The sequence below is a fragment of the Homo sapiens genome, chromosome 19 (genome assembly GCF_000001405.40).
Source record: "Homo sapiens chromosome 19, GRCh38.p14 Primary Assembly".
NCBI lineage: Eukaryota > Metazoa > Chordata > Mammalia > Primates > Hominidae > Homo > Homo sapiens.
In genome coordinates this window covers 3,732,125-3,748,297 of record NC_000019.10, presented here as the reverse complement: position 1 = coordinate 3,748,297, position 16,173 = coordinate 3,732,125, and the positions used below count along the sequence as shown (strand labels likewise).

At 53.3% G+C, this 16,173-nt stretch overlaps 1 protein-coding gene across 3 annotated transcripts in view, besides 1 other annotated feature; it reads right to left on the bottom strand.

Annotated features, from left to right (window-relative positions):
- The window catches only part of TJP3 (tight junction protein 3), a 42,430-nt gene that overhangs the window by 2,516 nt on the left and 23,741 nt on the right, over positions 1–16,173 (bottom strand). For all 3 annotated transcript variants that reach the window (NM_001267560.2, XM_047438611.1, NM_001267561.2), the window contains exons 7-19: positions 14,386–14,545; positions 13,863–13,971; positions 12,659–12,732; positions 12,363–12,429; positions 11,977–12,133; positions 9,635–9,743; positions 9,164–9,401; positions 7,535–7,746; positions 4,264–4,359; positions 2,217–2,287; positions 1,603–1,813; positions 1,422–1,522; positions 217–504 (exon numbers count right to left, since the gene is read on the bottom strand). In NM_001267560.2, coding sequence (NP_001254489.1) covers positions 217–504; positions 1,422–1,522; positions 1,603–1,813; positions 2,217–2,287; positions 4,264–4,359; positions 7,535–7,746; positions 9,164–9,401; positions 9,635–9,743; positions 11,977–12,133; positions 12,363–12,429; positions 12,659–12,732; positions 13,863–13,971; positions 14,386–14,545 — 1,893 coding nt within the window. The remainder of the gene's footprint in view (positions 1–216; positions 505–1,421; positions 1,523–1,602; positions 1,814–2,216; positions 2,288–4,263; positions 4,360–7,534; positions 7,747–9,163; positions 9,402–9,634; positions 9,744–11,976; positions 12,134–12,362; positions 12,430–12,658; positions 12,733–13,862; positions 13,972–14,385; positions 14,546–16,173) is intronic.
- Positions 11,271–11,471: a silencer, noted in NCBI's record as "peak3252 fragment used in MPRA reporter construct". NCBI's record gives its function as "represses an SCP1 promoter by STARR-seq MPRAs in K562 erythroleukemia cells {active_cell/tissue: K562}" and the evidence as "EXISTENCE:reporter gene assay evidence [ECO:0000049][PMID:32103011]".

The window sequence follows — 16,173 nt, the reverse complement described above, 5'->3', positions numbered from 1 at the left end:
TGCGTCTCAAAAAAAAAAAAAAAAAAAAAATGCTGCAAGTTACTCAGTGCCACGTGGGTCTCAGCTACCCCAGGTCTGAGTCCCAGAAACCAGTCTGACCAGGGAAGCCGTGTTTGTTGACGTCCTGGTAGAAAACAGGCTCCCAGTGTGTGTCTGCTCTGTGCTGGCATCCCCTCCGGAGACCCTTCCCAGGCCTGCCCCCCATGTCCGACGCACCTGGGCCCCCTGATGAGCCGAGATTCTCCCACGATCCCTCGGGCTCTGGGACTCATCTGCCTGCACGGGCTCCGAGGACCGGGCCAGGGCTGGAGCCGGGGGCTCATCATCCACATCCGTGTAGGGCCCCCCCTCGCCGTCTGTGTAGCCCTCGCCATCCGTGTACGCGCCGCCCTCGCCGTCCGTCTCGTAGTCGCTGTTAACGCGGCTGTCGCAGCTGAGGTCAGCGGAGCTGTCGGCCAGGCCGTGGTGAGGGAGGTCTAGGTTGTCCTCCAAGGAGCCATCCAGCTGTGGGGTGGGTGTGGATGCTGCGGCTGGCCCTGGCCAGGACCCCAGCTGCCACCCACGACATCCCCCCACCTTCAAACTCTGGTCCCAAATCAAGGCGAGGAGCCTGGAGCCTGGAGCCTCAGTGGAGGCTTCTCTGTTGACTCCAGGATGGGTTGTATCCATTGACCCTTCACCTGAGAGGCTCAGCCCCCAAATCCAAGCTGAGCCCCAAACCTTGACTCCAGCCCCAAGAGAAGACTCCATTCTCTCTCTCTTTTTTATGAGAAGGAGTCTCTGTTGCCAGGCTGGAGTGCTGTGGCGCAATCTCTGCTCACTGCAACCTCTGCCTCCCGGGTTCAAGTGATTCTCCTGCCTCAGCCTCCTGAGTAGCTGGGACCATGGGCGTGAGCTCCCGTGCCCCACTGACTCCATTCTCAAAACAGCTCCTCCAGGCTGGGCGCGGTGGCTCAGGCCTGTAATCCCAGCACTTTGGGAAGCTGAGGCAGGTGGATCGCCTGAGGTCAGGAGTTTGAGCCCAGCCTGGCCAACATGGTGAAACCTCGTCTCTGCTAAAAATACAAAAATTAGCTGGGCCTGGTAGCGCTCGCCTGTAGTCCCAGCTACTCGGGAGGCTGAGGCAGGAGAATCACTTGAACCCGGGAGGCGGAGGTTGCAGCAAGCTGAGATCACACCACTGTACTCCAGCCTGGGTGACATGAGACTCCATCTCAAATCAAACAACAAAAAACAGCTCCTCCAATCTCATCTCACCCAAGTTCCAGTCCAACACCCTTGTCTCAGGTCCCATCTTGACTCTGGCCACAGTCCTGATCCCTGACCAAGCCCTAACTCCCGACAGAGGCCCCAAACCCCAGCTGGGCCTGCACAGCGTCTGTGGGGCCTCCCTGCCCGACCCACCCACACCGCGGCAGTACCTGATCTTCCGCCGTCCAGATGGGCCGCGTCTGCTGCTCTCGAATGATGGCCTTGAGCTCCTGGTACCAGGTGTCACTCGTGCCATTCAGAGGGATGGTGGCTGCAGGGAGGGGACGTCAGTGTGTGCAGGAGACTCAGGCTGGGGCCCACCCGCCTACCCTGGGACACCCACCCCCCAACCTGTGAAGAGGTGGCTGCTGTGTTTTCGCAGCTTCTGGGCTTGTGCGTAGAGGCGACGGGTGCTGCGGCGGGAGGCAGGCGCCAGCCACTGGCGCAGTGCCTTGAGGGCCGGCCGGCTCTCGGGGATGAAGAAGACCACAATGGGGTAGTACTGCACATAGTTGAGGCGCTCGATGGCGGAGGGGGTCACATCCAGGAGCGCATGCTTGTCCTGGGCCAGGCCGGCGGACGTTGGGGTGAGGGGGATTGCAGCAGGGTAAACAGAGAGAGAAAGATAGAAAGATGAAGAGTCTGAGGTCAGAGTGGACCCCAGCCTCTCACATCCACAGGCTAGCAAGTTGGGGATGGGGGTGGTAACAGCCCAGGTCGCAGCATCTTGGGCATCAAAACCTCAACTTGAGTCTCTCTGCCTTTGCCCAGGGCTGGCTGCTGTTTGACTCCGAGAAGCCCTTGTCTGTCTCGGGCCTCCTGCCTCACAAAGCCTCCAAAAGGGGCTCTATGGAAGACTGCACTTGTGGGGTGTGGGCTGAGAACAGGTCAGGACATTCAGTTGGATGCCCAGGCCTCGGTTTCCCCCATCCATGAAATGGGACCCGTAGCAGGACCCGGCTTACTTTTTCTGCAATCACCCGCACGGTGTCTAGTTTGATGATCTTGGAGGGGCTGTCGGTCCTGGACACAGTCTCTGTGGACGGCAGAGAGGACCAGCAGCTTCAGGAGGGCAGCCCCCGTCCCCTCAAATTCATGCCTACCTGCCCCTCCCCTGCTCAAGAAGCCACCATGGCTCCCCATTGCCCTGGAGAGAAATCCTAACAGCAGCAGAAACTCATGTTGGCCAAGTGCCAGGCACTGCACTCACATCCCCTCCTGACCTCAGCCCCCTCCTCCTCCTGAGGAGTGGGTGGCTGGTACTGGCCTATGTGGCAGGTGGGGAAACTGAGGCTCAGAGACAACAGGCCACTTGCTCAGGGTTGCAGGGTCAGAGGCCTGATGCTGAGCCTGAGCTGCAGCCCCTGGCTCTCCCAGACTCAGTTCCAACTCCAGGGCTCTGCTCAGGCTACGACCCCACAGGAAACTCCACTCTTGCCCCTATCTGTCTTCTAGGACCTGAGAGGAGCACTGCTTCCTCCAGGAAGCCCTCCTGGATCGTGCAAAGTTTCAGGAAGGAGACATAGCCTGGCATGGAGGGGTTCAAGGAGGGAGACGTGATCTCATCCCCCCTTTTTGTTTTTGTGGTTAAAAACGTAAAATTGGCCGGGCACAGTGGCTCATGCCTGTAGTCCCAGCACTTTGGGAGGCTGAGGCAGGTAGATCACCTGAGGTCAGAAGTTTGAGACCAGCCTGGCCAAACGGCGAAACCTGTCTCCACTAAAAATACAAAAATTAGCCGGGCATGGTGGCGCGTGCCTGTAATCCCAGCTACCAGGGTGGCTAAGGCAGGAGGATCACTTGAACCTGGGAGGCAGAGGTTGCGGTGAGTCGAGATCCTGCCACTGTACTCCAGCCTGGGCAACAGAGCAAGACTCTGATGCAAAAAAAAAAAAAAAAAAAAAAAAAAAAAAGACATAAAATTTGCATCTTTTTTTAATTAAAAAAATTCTTTTTTCTTTTATAGAAACGTGATTTTGCTGTGTTGCCCAGGCTGGTCTCAAACTCCTAGGCTCAAGTCATCCTCACACCTTGGCCTCTCAAAGTGCTGAGATTTTACATGTGAGCCACCACACCCAGCCAAAATTTGCAATCTTAACTATTTTTTGTTTTTTATTTCGAGACAGGGTCTCCCTCTGTCACCCAGGCTGGAGCGCAGTGGCGTGATCTCTGCTCACTGCACCCTCCGCCTCCTGGGATCAAGCAATTCTCCTGCCTCAGCTTCCTGAGTAGCTGGGATTACAGGCATGCGCCACCATGTCCAGCTAATTTTTTGTGTTTTTAGTAGAGATGTGGTTTCACCATGTTGGCCAGGCTGGTCTCGAACTCCTGACCACTGCGCCCGGCCTCCTAGTCTATCTTAATTGTTTTTGTTTTTTTTTTTTTTGACAGAGTCTCATTCCGTCGTCAGGCTGGAGTGCAGTGGCATGACCTCGGCTCACTGCAACCTCTGCCTCACGGGTTCAAGCAATTCTCCTGCCTCAGCCTCCCGAGTAGCTGGGACTACAGGTACGCGCCACCACACCTAGCTAATTTTTGTATTTTTAGTAGAGACGGGGTTTCACCATGTTAGCCAGGATGGTCTCAATCTCTTGACCTCGTGATCCACCCGCCTCGGACTCCCAAAGTGCTGGGATTACAGGCATGAGCCACCGCACCCGGCCATTGTTTCTACAGTTGTTAATTTGGAGTCTTCTCCAAGGGACCTTGCCTGTCGTGTTCACTGCTGTCTCAGAAGATCAATAAATTTCTCTTAAACAAATAACAGGTGGCACTTTGCCTCAATTGGCAATGGCTACCTGGTGAACTGTGTTAAGAAGGATTTGGAGGTTCTATCCAGACAAACGGTGCCAAGATGGATTGAGGATGTCTGGCTTGGGTATTGGGGGGGGCACTGGTGGCCCATCTGCTTCATGTTTGCCATCATTATTCTAACTCTCCCCCGACCCCCCACAAAAAAACAGTTGTGAAACTATTTCACCAACGAGGTTTCCAGAGGATCTGGCTTCTCACCTGCGATTTCAAACTGGTCAGGCATCTCAGCAGTCAACTTCTGCATAGCAATGTCGGCCACGGGTCCCAGGATCACTACCGGGCGCTTGAAACTGGCTGAGGGGTAGAGACACAGTGAAAGAATCAGGGTCCCATTTGCGATCAAAGACTGCTAGTGTGTTGTACAAACCCCTCCACTTCCTTATAGTAAACAGCCTATTTAACCAGGACCATAGCTACCCAGCCAAATACTACATCTCCCAGTGTCCTTTGCAGCTAGGTTAGCCTTATGACCAAATAATGGCCAATGGAACACTAGCAGAATTGATGTGTACATTTCTGGGTTCCGCCTTCAAGGGCAGGAATAAGCCCCTCTCCTGCCTTCATTCCCTTTCTTCCTGGCTGTAGGGTCTCTTTTTAGCAGTTGAACCTAGCTAACTCATAGGTCAGCAGACTACAACCTGAGGGCCACATCTGGCCCACTGCATGTGTTCGTCAATAAAGTTTTATCAAAACACAGTCACAACCATTTCTTTATGTCCTGTCTATGGCTACCTTTGAGCAGAGCTGAGTAGTTCTGCCAGAGACTAGCCCACAAAGCCTAAAATAGTTACTATGTGATCCTTTGCAGGAAAAGTATGTTGACACCTGGCCTACCAGATACACCATTTTACCACTGAAGAAACAGTCACAGAAGCGTCTTGAGGGGAGAAAAGTGGTAGCCCAGGGTCTTTGCAACTTAATCCTTCTCTTTCTCCCTTTCTTTCTTTTATTTTATTTACTTTTTTTTTTGAGATGGAGTCTAGCTCTGTGGCCCAGGCTGGAGTGCAGTGGCGCAATCTTGGCTCACTGCAACCTTCACCTTCCAGGTTCATGCAGTTCTCCTGCCTTAGCCTCCTGAGTAGCTGGGATTACAGGCGTGCGCCACCATGCCTGGCTAATTTTTGTATTTTTAGTAGAAACTGGGTTTCACCATGTTGGTCAAGCTGATCTCGAACTCCTGACCTCGTGATCCGCCCGCCTCGGCCTCCCAAAGTGCTGGGATTACAGGCGTGAGCCACCGCACGTGGCCTATTTACTTATTTTTTTGAGACAGAGTCTTGCTGTGTCACCGAGGCTGGCGGTGCAGTGGCTTAATCTTGGCTCACTGCAACCTCCATCTCCCAGGTCCAAGTGATTCTCCTGCCTCAGCTTCCTGAGTAGCTGGGATTAGAGGCGCCCACCACCACGCCCGGCTAATTTTTGTATTTTCAGTAGAGACGGGGTTTCACCACGTTGGCCAGGCTGGTCTCGAACTCCCGAACTCAGGTGATCCACCCACCTCCCAAAGTGCTGGGATTACACCTCGGCCTCCCAAAGTGCTGGGATTACAGGCGTGAGCCACCACGCCTGGCCGTGGCCTTGTATTTCTAGGACGTTTTCATCTGGATGTTGGAGCAGCGCGATGACAGTGTCAAAGGCTTTTCTCAAGGTCCATCCACCCACCCCTGTCCCGGGCAATTTGCTCTTCCCACCCCTTTTGTGGTTTTATTTGGAAAATCGCTGCACCTGGGTTTTTAACCCCCTGTCCTCTGATAAGAGCTTAATCTCTTCCCTTCCTGAAATCAGGATGAGGCATTTTTCCCCCCAGAGTCTGGCTTTGTTGCCCAGGCTAGAGTGCAGCAGCATGATCATAGCTCTCCGCAGCCTCGACCTCCTGGGCTCAAGGGATCCTCCCACCTCAGCCTGCCAAGTAGCTGGGACTACTGGCGTACCACCACACCTGGCTAATTTATTTTTTATTTTGTAGAGACAGAGTCTCACTTTGCTGTCCAGGCTGGTCCCAGACTCCTGGGCTCAAGTGACCCACCCATCTTGGCCTCCCAAAGTGCTGGGATTACAAGCGTGAGCCACCACGCCCGGTCAAAGAAGATAAATTATTAAAATTATTATTATTGCTATTTCTTTTTCCTTTTGTAAGGCTATCTACATGCCTTGCACCATATTTCTGTTGGAGACACAAATAGATTTTTAAGGAATGAACCCCCTTCCTGTCCTTCTGTCCCCTAAAATAACCCAAAATTTTTTTGTTTTTTTGTTTTTTTTGAGACGGAGTTTTGCTCTTGTTGCCCAGGCTGGAGTGCAGTGGTGTGATCTCCGCTCACTGCAACCTCTGCCTCCCGGGTTCAAGTGATTCTCCTGCCTCAGCCTCCCAAGTAGCTGGGATTATAGGCACCTGCCACCATGCCCAGCTAATTTTTTGTACTTTTAGTAGAGATGGGATTTCACCATGTGGGCCAGGCTGGTCTAGAGCTCCTGACCTCAGGTGATCCACCTGCCTCAGCCTCCCAAACCATTGAGATTACGGGCGTGAGCCACCGCACCCAGGCCCAAAAGTATTTTTGATAGAAGGAGAGTGGTTAGAAACATGCTTTTTTTTTTTTTTCTTTTGAAGACAGTGTCAATCTGTGGCCCAGGGTGGAGTGCAGTGGTGCGATCATAGCTCACTGCAACCTCTGCCTCCCGGGTTCAAGTGATTCTCCTGCCTCAGCCTCCCAAGTAGCTGGGATTACAGGCGCCTGCCACCATGCCCAGCTAATTTTTTGTACTTTTAGTAGAGATGGGATTTCACCATGTGGGCCAGGCTGGTGCGATCATAGCTCACTGCAACCTCGACCTCCCAAGCTCAAGCAATCTTCCTGCCTCAGCTTCCCAAGCAGCGGGGACTATAGGTATGCACCACCATGCCCAGCTATCTTTTTAAATTTGATGTAGAGGCCGGGCGTGGTGGCTCACGCCTGTAATCTCAGCATTTTGGGAGGCTGAAGCGGGTGGATCGTGAGGTCACGAGTTCAAGACCAGCCTGGCCAACATGGTGAAACCCCGTCTTTACTAAAAATACAAAAATTAGCTGGGGGCGGGGTGATGGGCGCCTGTAATCCCGGTTACTTGGGAGGCTGAGGCAAGAGAATCGCTTGAATCAGGGAGGCAGGGGTTGCAGTGAGCTCAGATCACGCTATTGCACTCCAGCCTAAGACAGAGCAAGACTCTGTCTAAAAATAAAAATAAAAACAAAAATAAATAAATAAATAAATTTGAGGTAGAGATGTAGTCTTGCTTTACCGCCCAGGTTGATCTGGAACTCCTGGCCTCAGCGATCCTCCTACCTCGGCCTCCCAAAGTGTTGGGATTATAGGCGTGAGCCACCACGCCGGGCCAAGACTGTGCCTTTTAGAGGCTGAATGTTAGTGAACAGGTGCACCAGGAGCTGTGTGTGAGGCCTCCCCAGGGCCCCTCCAGCTCCGGGCCCCACCTTCTCGCAACACCACTCGTTCGTAGGGCGGGTAGCGGCCCTGTCGGGTCAGAGCTGAGAGGTCCTCACGGCTCCGCTGAGTGGTCTTCTTGGCTCCTCGACGAAGACCCCGCAGCCGCCAGAACTCGGCCCGAGCATTGGAGCCCGCGGAGGAGCCGGGCCCGACTCCCACGGCCCTCTGGGCAGCTTCCAGGCTGGCCAGCTGCTCCGCCCTGGGGAGAAGAGGGGACAGTACTGAGCACTGGGGTCAGCAGCATGGTGGCCCCAAAGACGTCCTCGTCCTACCCCTCGGAGCCTGTGGACAGGCCACTTTGTATGGCAAAAGGGACTCTGCAGATGGGATTATTATTACTATTATTATTATTTTGGGTTTTTTGAGACAAAGTCTTGCTCTGTCACTCAGGCTGGACTCGTTACAACCTCTGCCTCCTGGGTTCAGGCGATTCTCCTGCCTCACTTTCCCAAATAGCTGGGATTACAGGTGCCCGCCACCACGCCCAGCTAATCTTTATTATTTATTTATTTACTTTTTTGAGATAGAGTCTCGCTCCGTCGCCAGGTTGGAGTGCAGCGGTGCAATCTCTGCTCACTGCAACCTCCGCCTCCCAGGTTCAAGCGATTCTCATGCCTCAGCCTCCCAAGTAGCTGGGATTACAGGTATGCACCACCACGCCCAGCTAATTTTTGTATTTTTAGTAGGGATGGGGTTTCACCATGTTGGCCAGGATAGTCTCAATCTCTTGACCTCGTGATCTGCCCGCCTCAGCCTCCCAAAGTGCTGGGATTACAGGCGTGAGCCACCGTGCCTGGCCTGCAGATGGGATTAAACTGATGCTATTGAGGTGGATGATGATCCTGGGTGACCCAGGGGACCCGATGTCCTCACAGGGTCCTCACAAGAAGAGGCGGGAGGGTGAGAGTCAGAGAGAGACTAGAAGAGGCTGTGCTGTGGCTATGAAGGGGGAGGAAGGGGCCCCGAGCTGAGGGATGCGGCCCCTCTAGACTCTGGGAAAGGTGGAAAATTGGTTTTCTCCTGGAGCCTCTGGGAGGGCCCAGGCCTGCCCATACCTTGACTTTAGTACTTTTGCTCTCCAGAACTGTAAGAGGATGTGTGTGTTGTTTAAAGCCACTAAGTTTCTGGGCATCTGTTACAGCAACAACAGGAAGCTCATACCAGCACCAAATGGGGCCCGCCCAGAGCCTTTTGTGGACCTCCTCAGATTGAACCACCAACACTGCTAAGCAGTGATATCATGCCTATTTATTTATTTATTGAGACAAGAGTCTCACTCTGTTGCCAGGCTGGAGTGCAGTGGCGTGATCTCGGCTCACTGTAACCTCTGCCTCCCAGGTTCAAGCGATTCTCCTGCCTCAGCCTCCCAAGAAGCTGGGATTATAGGCATGTGCCACCACGCCCAGCTAATTTTTGTATTTTTAGTAGAGACGAGGTTTCACCATGTTGCCCAGGATGGTCTCGATCTCTTGACCTCATGATCTGCCCACTTCAGCCTCCCAAAGTGCCAGGATTACAGGCCTGAGCCACCGCGTCCAGCCCAATCGAGCCCATTTCTAACGGGGAGACTGAGGCTGAAGCAGAAGTGCCCCACTGCAGGAGCACACAGTCCCCACCTGCTCTGGTTGGGAATGATGCCCCGCTCTTGCTCCCGCAGGTCACGACCCATGCGCACCGCCAGCCAGTGGCCTCCTCGTGCGTGGCTCTGCCCGGGGCCGGGGTGCAGCGTGTCCAGCACGTGGAAGACGTCGCCACGGGTGAAGCCCAGGCCAGACGGTGGACTGGGCTCCAGCTCAAAGTGAGTGCGGATGTAGAAGGAGTCACCCACGCGGGACTGCACCATTTTCCAGAAAACTGGGGAGAGCGGGAGGCCACATGAGCTGCCTGGGCTGCTGCCTGATCTGAGCCCTCCCCACCCGAGAGTGGGCCTGGCTGGAGATTTGGGGCACTCTCCCTGTAGGGGCCAGGGAGAGGGATGGAGGGTGCAGAGATGCAGATTCAACCACATCCCTGCACTCACCACCAGGCCACACAGCCAGGTCCTCCCCCCGCAACACACAGGCACACCCATATCCACGCGCACTCACTGTCCTGCTTCCTCTGCGTCACCAGCTCCATCTCCTCGCCTGGTGGCAGCCCCAGCAGGAACTGCACTGCCTCCTCCCGTGTCAGGTTCTGGAATGGCACGTCATTCACCTGCCAGAAAGCAAGTGCAGCTATAGAAAAAGCTCTGGTACCTCTTGGGCGTGCATGAGATCCTGGACCTTCCTCTGGGCAAAACTCAGCCCCAGCTGCTTCCAGAGCTGCTGCCAAGGGACCCGGCAGTTCCCCGAGGGCTTTCCGACTGGGGTATCACCCTATGGCTGTGTGATGTGTGACACAGACAGCTGGTGGCATTGTAAGGATACAAGAGTTTTGACACAGAAACGGGCACAGGCACTGCACTTGTCCTCAGATAACCAAATCATGGTGGGTTGTCAATATCAAAACATGGGAACAGAGGTCATGGCATGGAGCTCGATGGAAACTGTGTGAAATGCTCAAAAGAACTCAGACGTAGTCACAGTAGTCACAGGGTCGTGACAGGGACAACGATATATGGACACACAGTGGGTCACAGATGCCTACCACCAGGGTCATGACAGGGACAACAATATATGGACACAGCCATCTGCTCTCCGGGTCATGACATGGACAGCAATATACAGACACAGCCACCTGCTCTCAGGGTCATGACATGGACAGCAATATACAGCCACCTGCTCTCCGGGTCATGACATGGACAGCAATATACAGCCACCTGCTCTCAGGGTCACGACATGGACAGCAATATACAGACACAGCCACCTGCTCTCAGGGTCATAACAGGGACAGCAATATACTTGCACAGCTTGTGGGCACAGACACCTACTCTCGGGGTCATGACGTGGATGTCAAGGTTAGAATCCCACAAGCAAAATGAGTAGAAATACAGTAAAAAATACCATGACCCTCAGGCAATTTGGCATCAAGTTTTCACCCAGCCAGTGGGCTTATGACATGGAAAGTGGGGAGCTGTGACTCCATCATGAATCACAACTCACACTGCAAGGTCAAGACACAAGCAAGGTCATGAGAGCAAAGTGGGGGTGAGACTTGGTGAGTGAACTCGCGCAAGGGACAGGGGAGACAGCCTGGGGATGAGATGAGGCAAGGACAGAGATGGGGGGATGATGAGGGGCTGTGGATCCTGGAGGTAGTTATGACACTGTCATGAAGGCAGGACACAGGCAAGGTCACAACACAGACACAGGGGATGGTGGCACAGAAAATGACTATAAGTGGACATGGAGATCATGAGAGAATGATCTGTGACCTGACCACACGATTAGGACATACAAGACGGTCATGACACGGTCAACACAGCCAATGTCAGGAACAAGAGGATTGCGACCCAGACAAGGTCATGACATAGGCAATGAGGCTGTGACCCAAAGTCCTGACATTGATAACAAGGAGATTGTGACATTGATAACAAGAATGTCACATGAACAATGTCATATGACATGAACAACAAGATTGTTGTTCCCAATCTTGAGCACAGTGTCTCAAGCTTATAATCTCAGCACTTTGGGAGGCTGAGGCGGGTGCATCACTTGAGGCCAGGAGTTCAAGACCAGCCTGGCCAACATGGTGAAACCCTGTCTCTACTAAAAACACAAAAATTAGCTGGGCATGGTGGCGGCCACCTGTGATCCCAGCTACTTGGGAGGCTGAGTCAGGATGATCCCTTGAACCCGGGAGGCGGAGGTTGCAGTGAGCCAAGATCACACCCCCGCACTCCAGCCTGGGTGACAGAGCAAGACTCTATCTCAAAAAAAAAAAAAAAAAAAGTTAGCCAGGCGCAGTGGCTCATGCCTGTAATCTCAGCTACTTGGGAAGCCGAGGCAGGTGGATCACCTGAGGTCAGGAGTTTGAGACCAGCCTGGCCAACATGGCGAAACCCTCATCTCTACTAAAAATATAAAAATTAGCCGGGCGTGGTGGTGGACAACTGTAATCCCAGCTACTCAGGAGGTGAGGCAGAAGAATTGCTTGAACCTGGGAGGCAGAGGTTGCGGTGAGCCAAGATCACACCATTGCACTCCAGCCTGGGCAACAAGACCAAAACTCCATCTCAAAAACAACAACAACAAAAAATGAACCCAGATAAGGTCAAGGCACAGAAAAGGAGGTTGTAACTGGACGATGAGGTCATGACCTGGAAGATAAGGTCGTGACATCAGCAAAATCATGACACAGCCAAGGAGACACTGAAATGTTCAAATACCCATCTGGGGTCTCGACAGTCCCCAGGTGGACCCAAGGGGAGGACTGGAACAGACAAGGGCAGGACCTAGCACACTGCACGCCCATGATCAGTGGGGCTGGCCAGCCGCCCCCGGAGCACCTGCAGAATCTGATCTCCCTCCTGGATGCCCTGCCCGTCGGCCGGGCTGCCCGCCTGCACCCCGGACACGAAGATGCCCACGTCATTGCCCCCTGCCAGCCGCAGCCCGATGCTCTTGCCCTTGAGGAAGCGGACCACACGCGTGTCGGGGCTGTACCTGCAAGGGGAGGCAGAGATGGGGTCAGAGCAGAGTGGGCGGACAAAGGGAGGGCTCAGCATTGTCCTTGGGAAAGCCCCCACCCCCTCCAGGCCTCAGTTTCCCCAAAACCCCCACTTAATGGTCCCACTCAACACAATGGATACAAGCAGGCAGGATTGCGCTGATGAGGGAGGCAGCCTGGGATGTAGGAGTTTTGAGCGGGTTTGCTTTCTTCTGGGGTACATACCCACGATCCTCCATGCTCTGACTGCTGGGCACTCTGTAGATGTCATAGCTGCTTTCCCTGGGCAACTCTGAAAGGGAAAAGCCAGTCTCTTTCCCAAGCACACTGGCTCAGTCCAGCCTCCAAACCTTTGCTTTATGTCCTCATCCTGGAAGGACTGTCACCCACCTCGAGTCCTTCTCAGGAAACCATGTCTCACCACTTAGGCTCAGGCCAACCTCCCCCAGCTCTGCCTGGCACAGCCTTGCTGTCAGGGATCAGAAATGTCAGGGACAGGGGTGCTCAGAGTCACCACCCACCTGACCGTTGCTCATCTGGTTCCGAGATGGTTCTGGAATCTACTGAACTTTCCCGCCGAAGCCGGGGACTCTCCCTGGTGGGGAACAGATTGGGAGTGAGGCAGGGATGGATTTCAAGGGGCCATTTTAAAAAGAATTTTAGGCCGGGCACGGTGGTTCATGCCTGTAATCCTAGCATTTTGGGAGGTCGAGGTGGGCAGATCACCTGAGGTCAGGATTTCAAGACCAGCCTGGCCAACGAGGTTAAACCCCGTCTCTCCAAAAATACAAAAATTAGCCGGGCATGATGGTGGGCGCCTGTAATCCCAGCTACTCAGGAGGCTAAGGCAGGAGAATTGCTTGAACCCGGGAGGCAGAGGTTGCAGTGAGCCAAGATCATGCCACTGCACTCCAGCCTGGGCGACAGAGTGAGACCTTGTCTCCAAAAAAATAAATAAATAAATAAACAAAATAAAAATAATTTTAATTTATCTGGGCTGGGCGTGGTGGCTCACGCCTGTAATACCAGCACTTTGGGAGGCTGAGGCAGGCCAAATGCTTGAGCCCAGGAGTTCAAGACCAGCCTGGGCAACATAGCTGGGCAATACAGACCCCATCTCTACCAAAAATATGAAAATTAGCCAGTCTCACATGACTCAGTCTCAAAACAAATAAATAAATAGAGGAAAAAGAAATTTTTTTTTTTAAGACAGAGTTTTGCTCTGGTTGCCTAGGCTGCAGTGTAATGACACGATCTCGGCTCACTGCAACCTCCATTTCCTGGGTTCAAGTGATTCTCCTGCCTCAGCCTCCCAAGTAGCTGAGCTTACAGGCACCCGGCACCACGCCGGGCTAATTTTGGTATCTTAGTAGAGACAGGGTTTCACCACGTTGGCCAGGCTGTTCTCGAACTCCTAACCTCAGATGATCCACCCTCCTCGGCCTCCCAAAGTGCTGAGATTACAGGCGTGAGCCACCGCACCTGGCCTAAGGCAGAGTTTGATACTAAGAAGTGGGGTGCTGCTGTAACCAACACCTACAAATGCGGACACGGCTTTGGAACTGGGTAATGGGTAGAGGCTGGAGGTATTTTGAGGCACATGCTAGAAATACAGGACTGCGTCCTCAAGGTTACCCCCAGTTGGAAAGCTACGCCCGCGTTCCCCTCTCCCTCCCACCTCCCTCTCCCTCCCTATCACCATTCTGGCCGATGGGTGATACTTACACGGGAGAGTCGGTCTGGCTGGCCTCGGGGCTCCGCTGAGCATGCCGGGGTGGTGGTGGGATGTGGGATGGTGGTGCCTGCGATAGCTCCGAGGCGAGGTCCGAGATGTCTGCAGGGGGAGAGGACATCTCATCAGCCATGGTCACGCCTTCTGGACTGGACCCATTTTACAGAGGGGTATATCAACACCCCTCTAAACAAAGGGCCCTAGACCAAAGTCAGAAGCTCAGTTAGAAGATTCGGCTCTGGAGCTGGGCACGGTGGCTCACGCCTATAATCCCAGCTACTCAGGAGGCCAAGGCACGAGAATCGCTCGAACCCAGGAGGCAGAGAATCGCTTGAACCCAGTGAGCCGAGATCGCCCCCCTGAACTCTTGACTTGCTGTGTGGCCTTCAGCAAGTTCCTGTCACTCTCTGAGCCTCTAGGGACCAGGCTCATTGATTCCTTGGCCCTGCCTGGGGCTTCCCACCTTCCCTGCCATCCATTCAACCCCCTCCCAGGTCCTAACCTCTAGGTCCTCACCCTCCAATGGCGAGCTGTCGCTGTCACTGACAGCAGGCGGAATGTTCACCAGGAACTGCCCACGATCTCTCAGCACCAGCAGGCTTAGCTTCCCTTCTGACTTCTCAATCAGTCGCCGGGTGTCGTTCAGTGACAGGTTCTGGCTAGACACCCCGTTGATCTGAAAGGGACCAGGAATGAAAGAGCGGAAGTGAGTTAATGAGAGATGGGAGACAGTAGAAACAGCCTGGTGTGGGGGAACTTGAAACAGACAATTCCCCCAGAGGTTGCTAAAAACAGCCACTCCCTAAGGAAAGTGTTGAATTGGATTCCTGCTGTGAGTGGAGACCACACCAAGAACTGAGCACCGAATTCTAGAAACAGAAAATGTTCTAAGAGGGGTGGGAGACACTGGGGAAAATGAGAAACAGGTTGACTCTCCTTTCTTACCAAAAGTGGAAATGTCTCAGGGGATACTAGGAACAGATGTGAGGGTGACATTATAAACAACTCTAACTGGAGAAGAGGGAGTATCAGATACTTAAAAGATACTAGAAACACACAATCTTCTGGGAGATAACTAGAAACAGATATCTAGAGTGGGGCGCGGTGGCTCACGCCTGTAATGCCAGCACTTTGGGAGGCAGAGGCAGACAGATCAGTTGAGGTCAGGAGTTCAAGACCAGCCTGGCCATCATGGTGAAACCCTGTCTCTACTAAAAATACAAAAATTAGCAGGGCGTGGTGGTGGGCGCCTGTGGTCCCAGCTACTCAGGAGACTGAGACAGGAGAATCACTTGAACCCGGGAGGTGGAGGTTGCAGTGAGCCAAGATCCCGCCACTGCACTCCAGCCTGGGTGACAGAGCGACACTCCATATCAAAAAGAAAGAAAAGAAAAGAAAAAAGAGAAGAGAAAAGAAAAGAGAAAAGAAAACAGTCATCTAGAGGTAGATTAGAAACACACAATTCCTAGAAAGAACTTAATGTCGGCCGGGTGTGGTGGCTCATGCCTGTAATCCCAGCACTTTGGGAGGCCGAGGCGGATGGATCACCTGAGGTCGGGAGTTCGAGACCAGCCTGACCAAGATGGAGAAACCCCGTCTCTACTAAAAATACAAAAAATTAGCAAGGTGTGGTGGTGCACGCCTGTAATCCCAGCACGTTGGGAGGCCGAGCGGGGGGGATCACCTGAGGTCAGGAGTTCGAGACCAGCCTGGCCAACATGGAGAAACCCGTCTTTTCTAAAAATACAAACATTAGCTGGGTGTGGTGGCGGGCACCTGTAATCCCAGCTACTCGGGAGGCTAAGGCAGGAGAATCACCTGAACCTGGGAGGCGGAGGTTGCAGTGAGCCGAGATTGCGCCACTGCACTCCAGCCTGGGTGACAGAGCGAGACTCTGTCTGAAAAAAAAAAAAAGAAACAGATAACTTTTTGAAGACACTGGAAATAATCAGCTGAAAGCAATTTGGAAATCAAACACTAGGAGTCACTAGAAACAGACTTTCAGGGGAAGAATCCAGAAAGATACCATCCTTTAGGGCAGGGCAGCTCCCCTAAACCTGGTGACTGGGTCATTAGCATCCAGTCACCTAGGGTAGGTCCAGGAGTCAGCTGCCCACATGAGTCTCTGATGCACATCAAAGCTAGAGGGTATTAGAAACAGACAACCCCATGGGGATACTAGAAACCGACATTTGGCTGTGGATTAGTAGTAGCTGGGGAAAAAGGGGGTTTTATGCCTGGCCATCTGCAACCTTTGAGATACAAGCAACAACACTGAAGGTAAATGCTTTGGGGCCCAGTTCT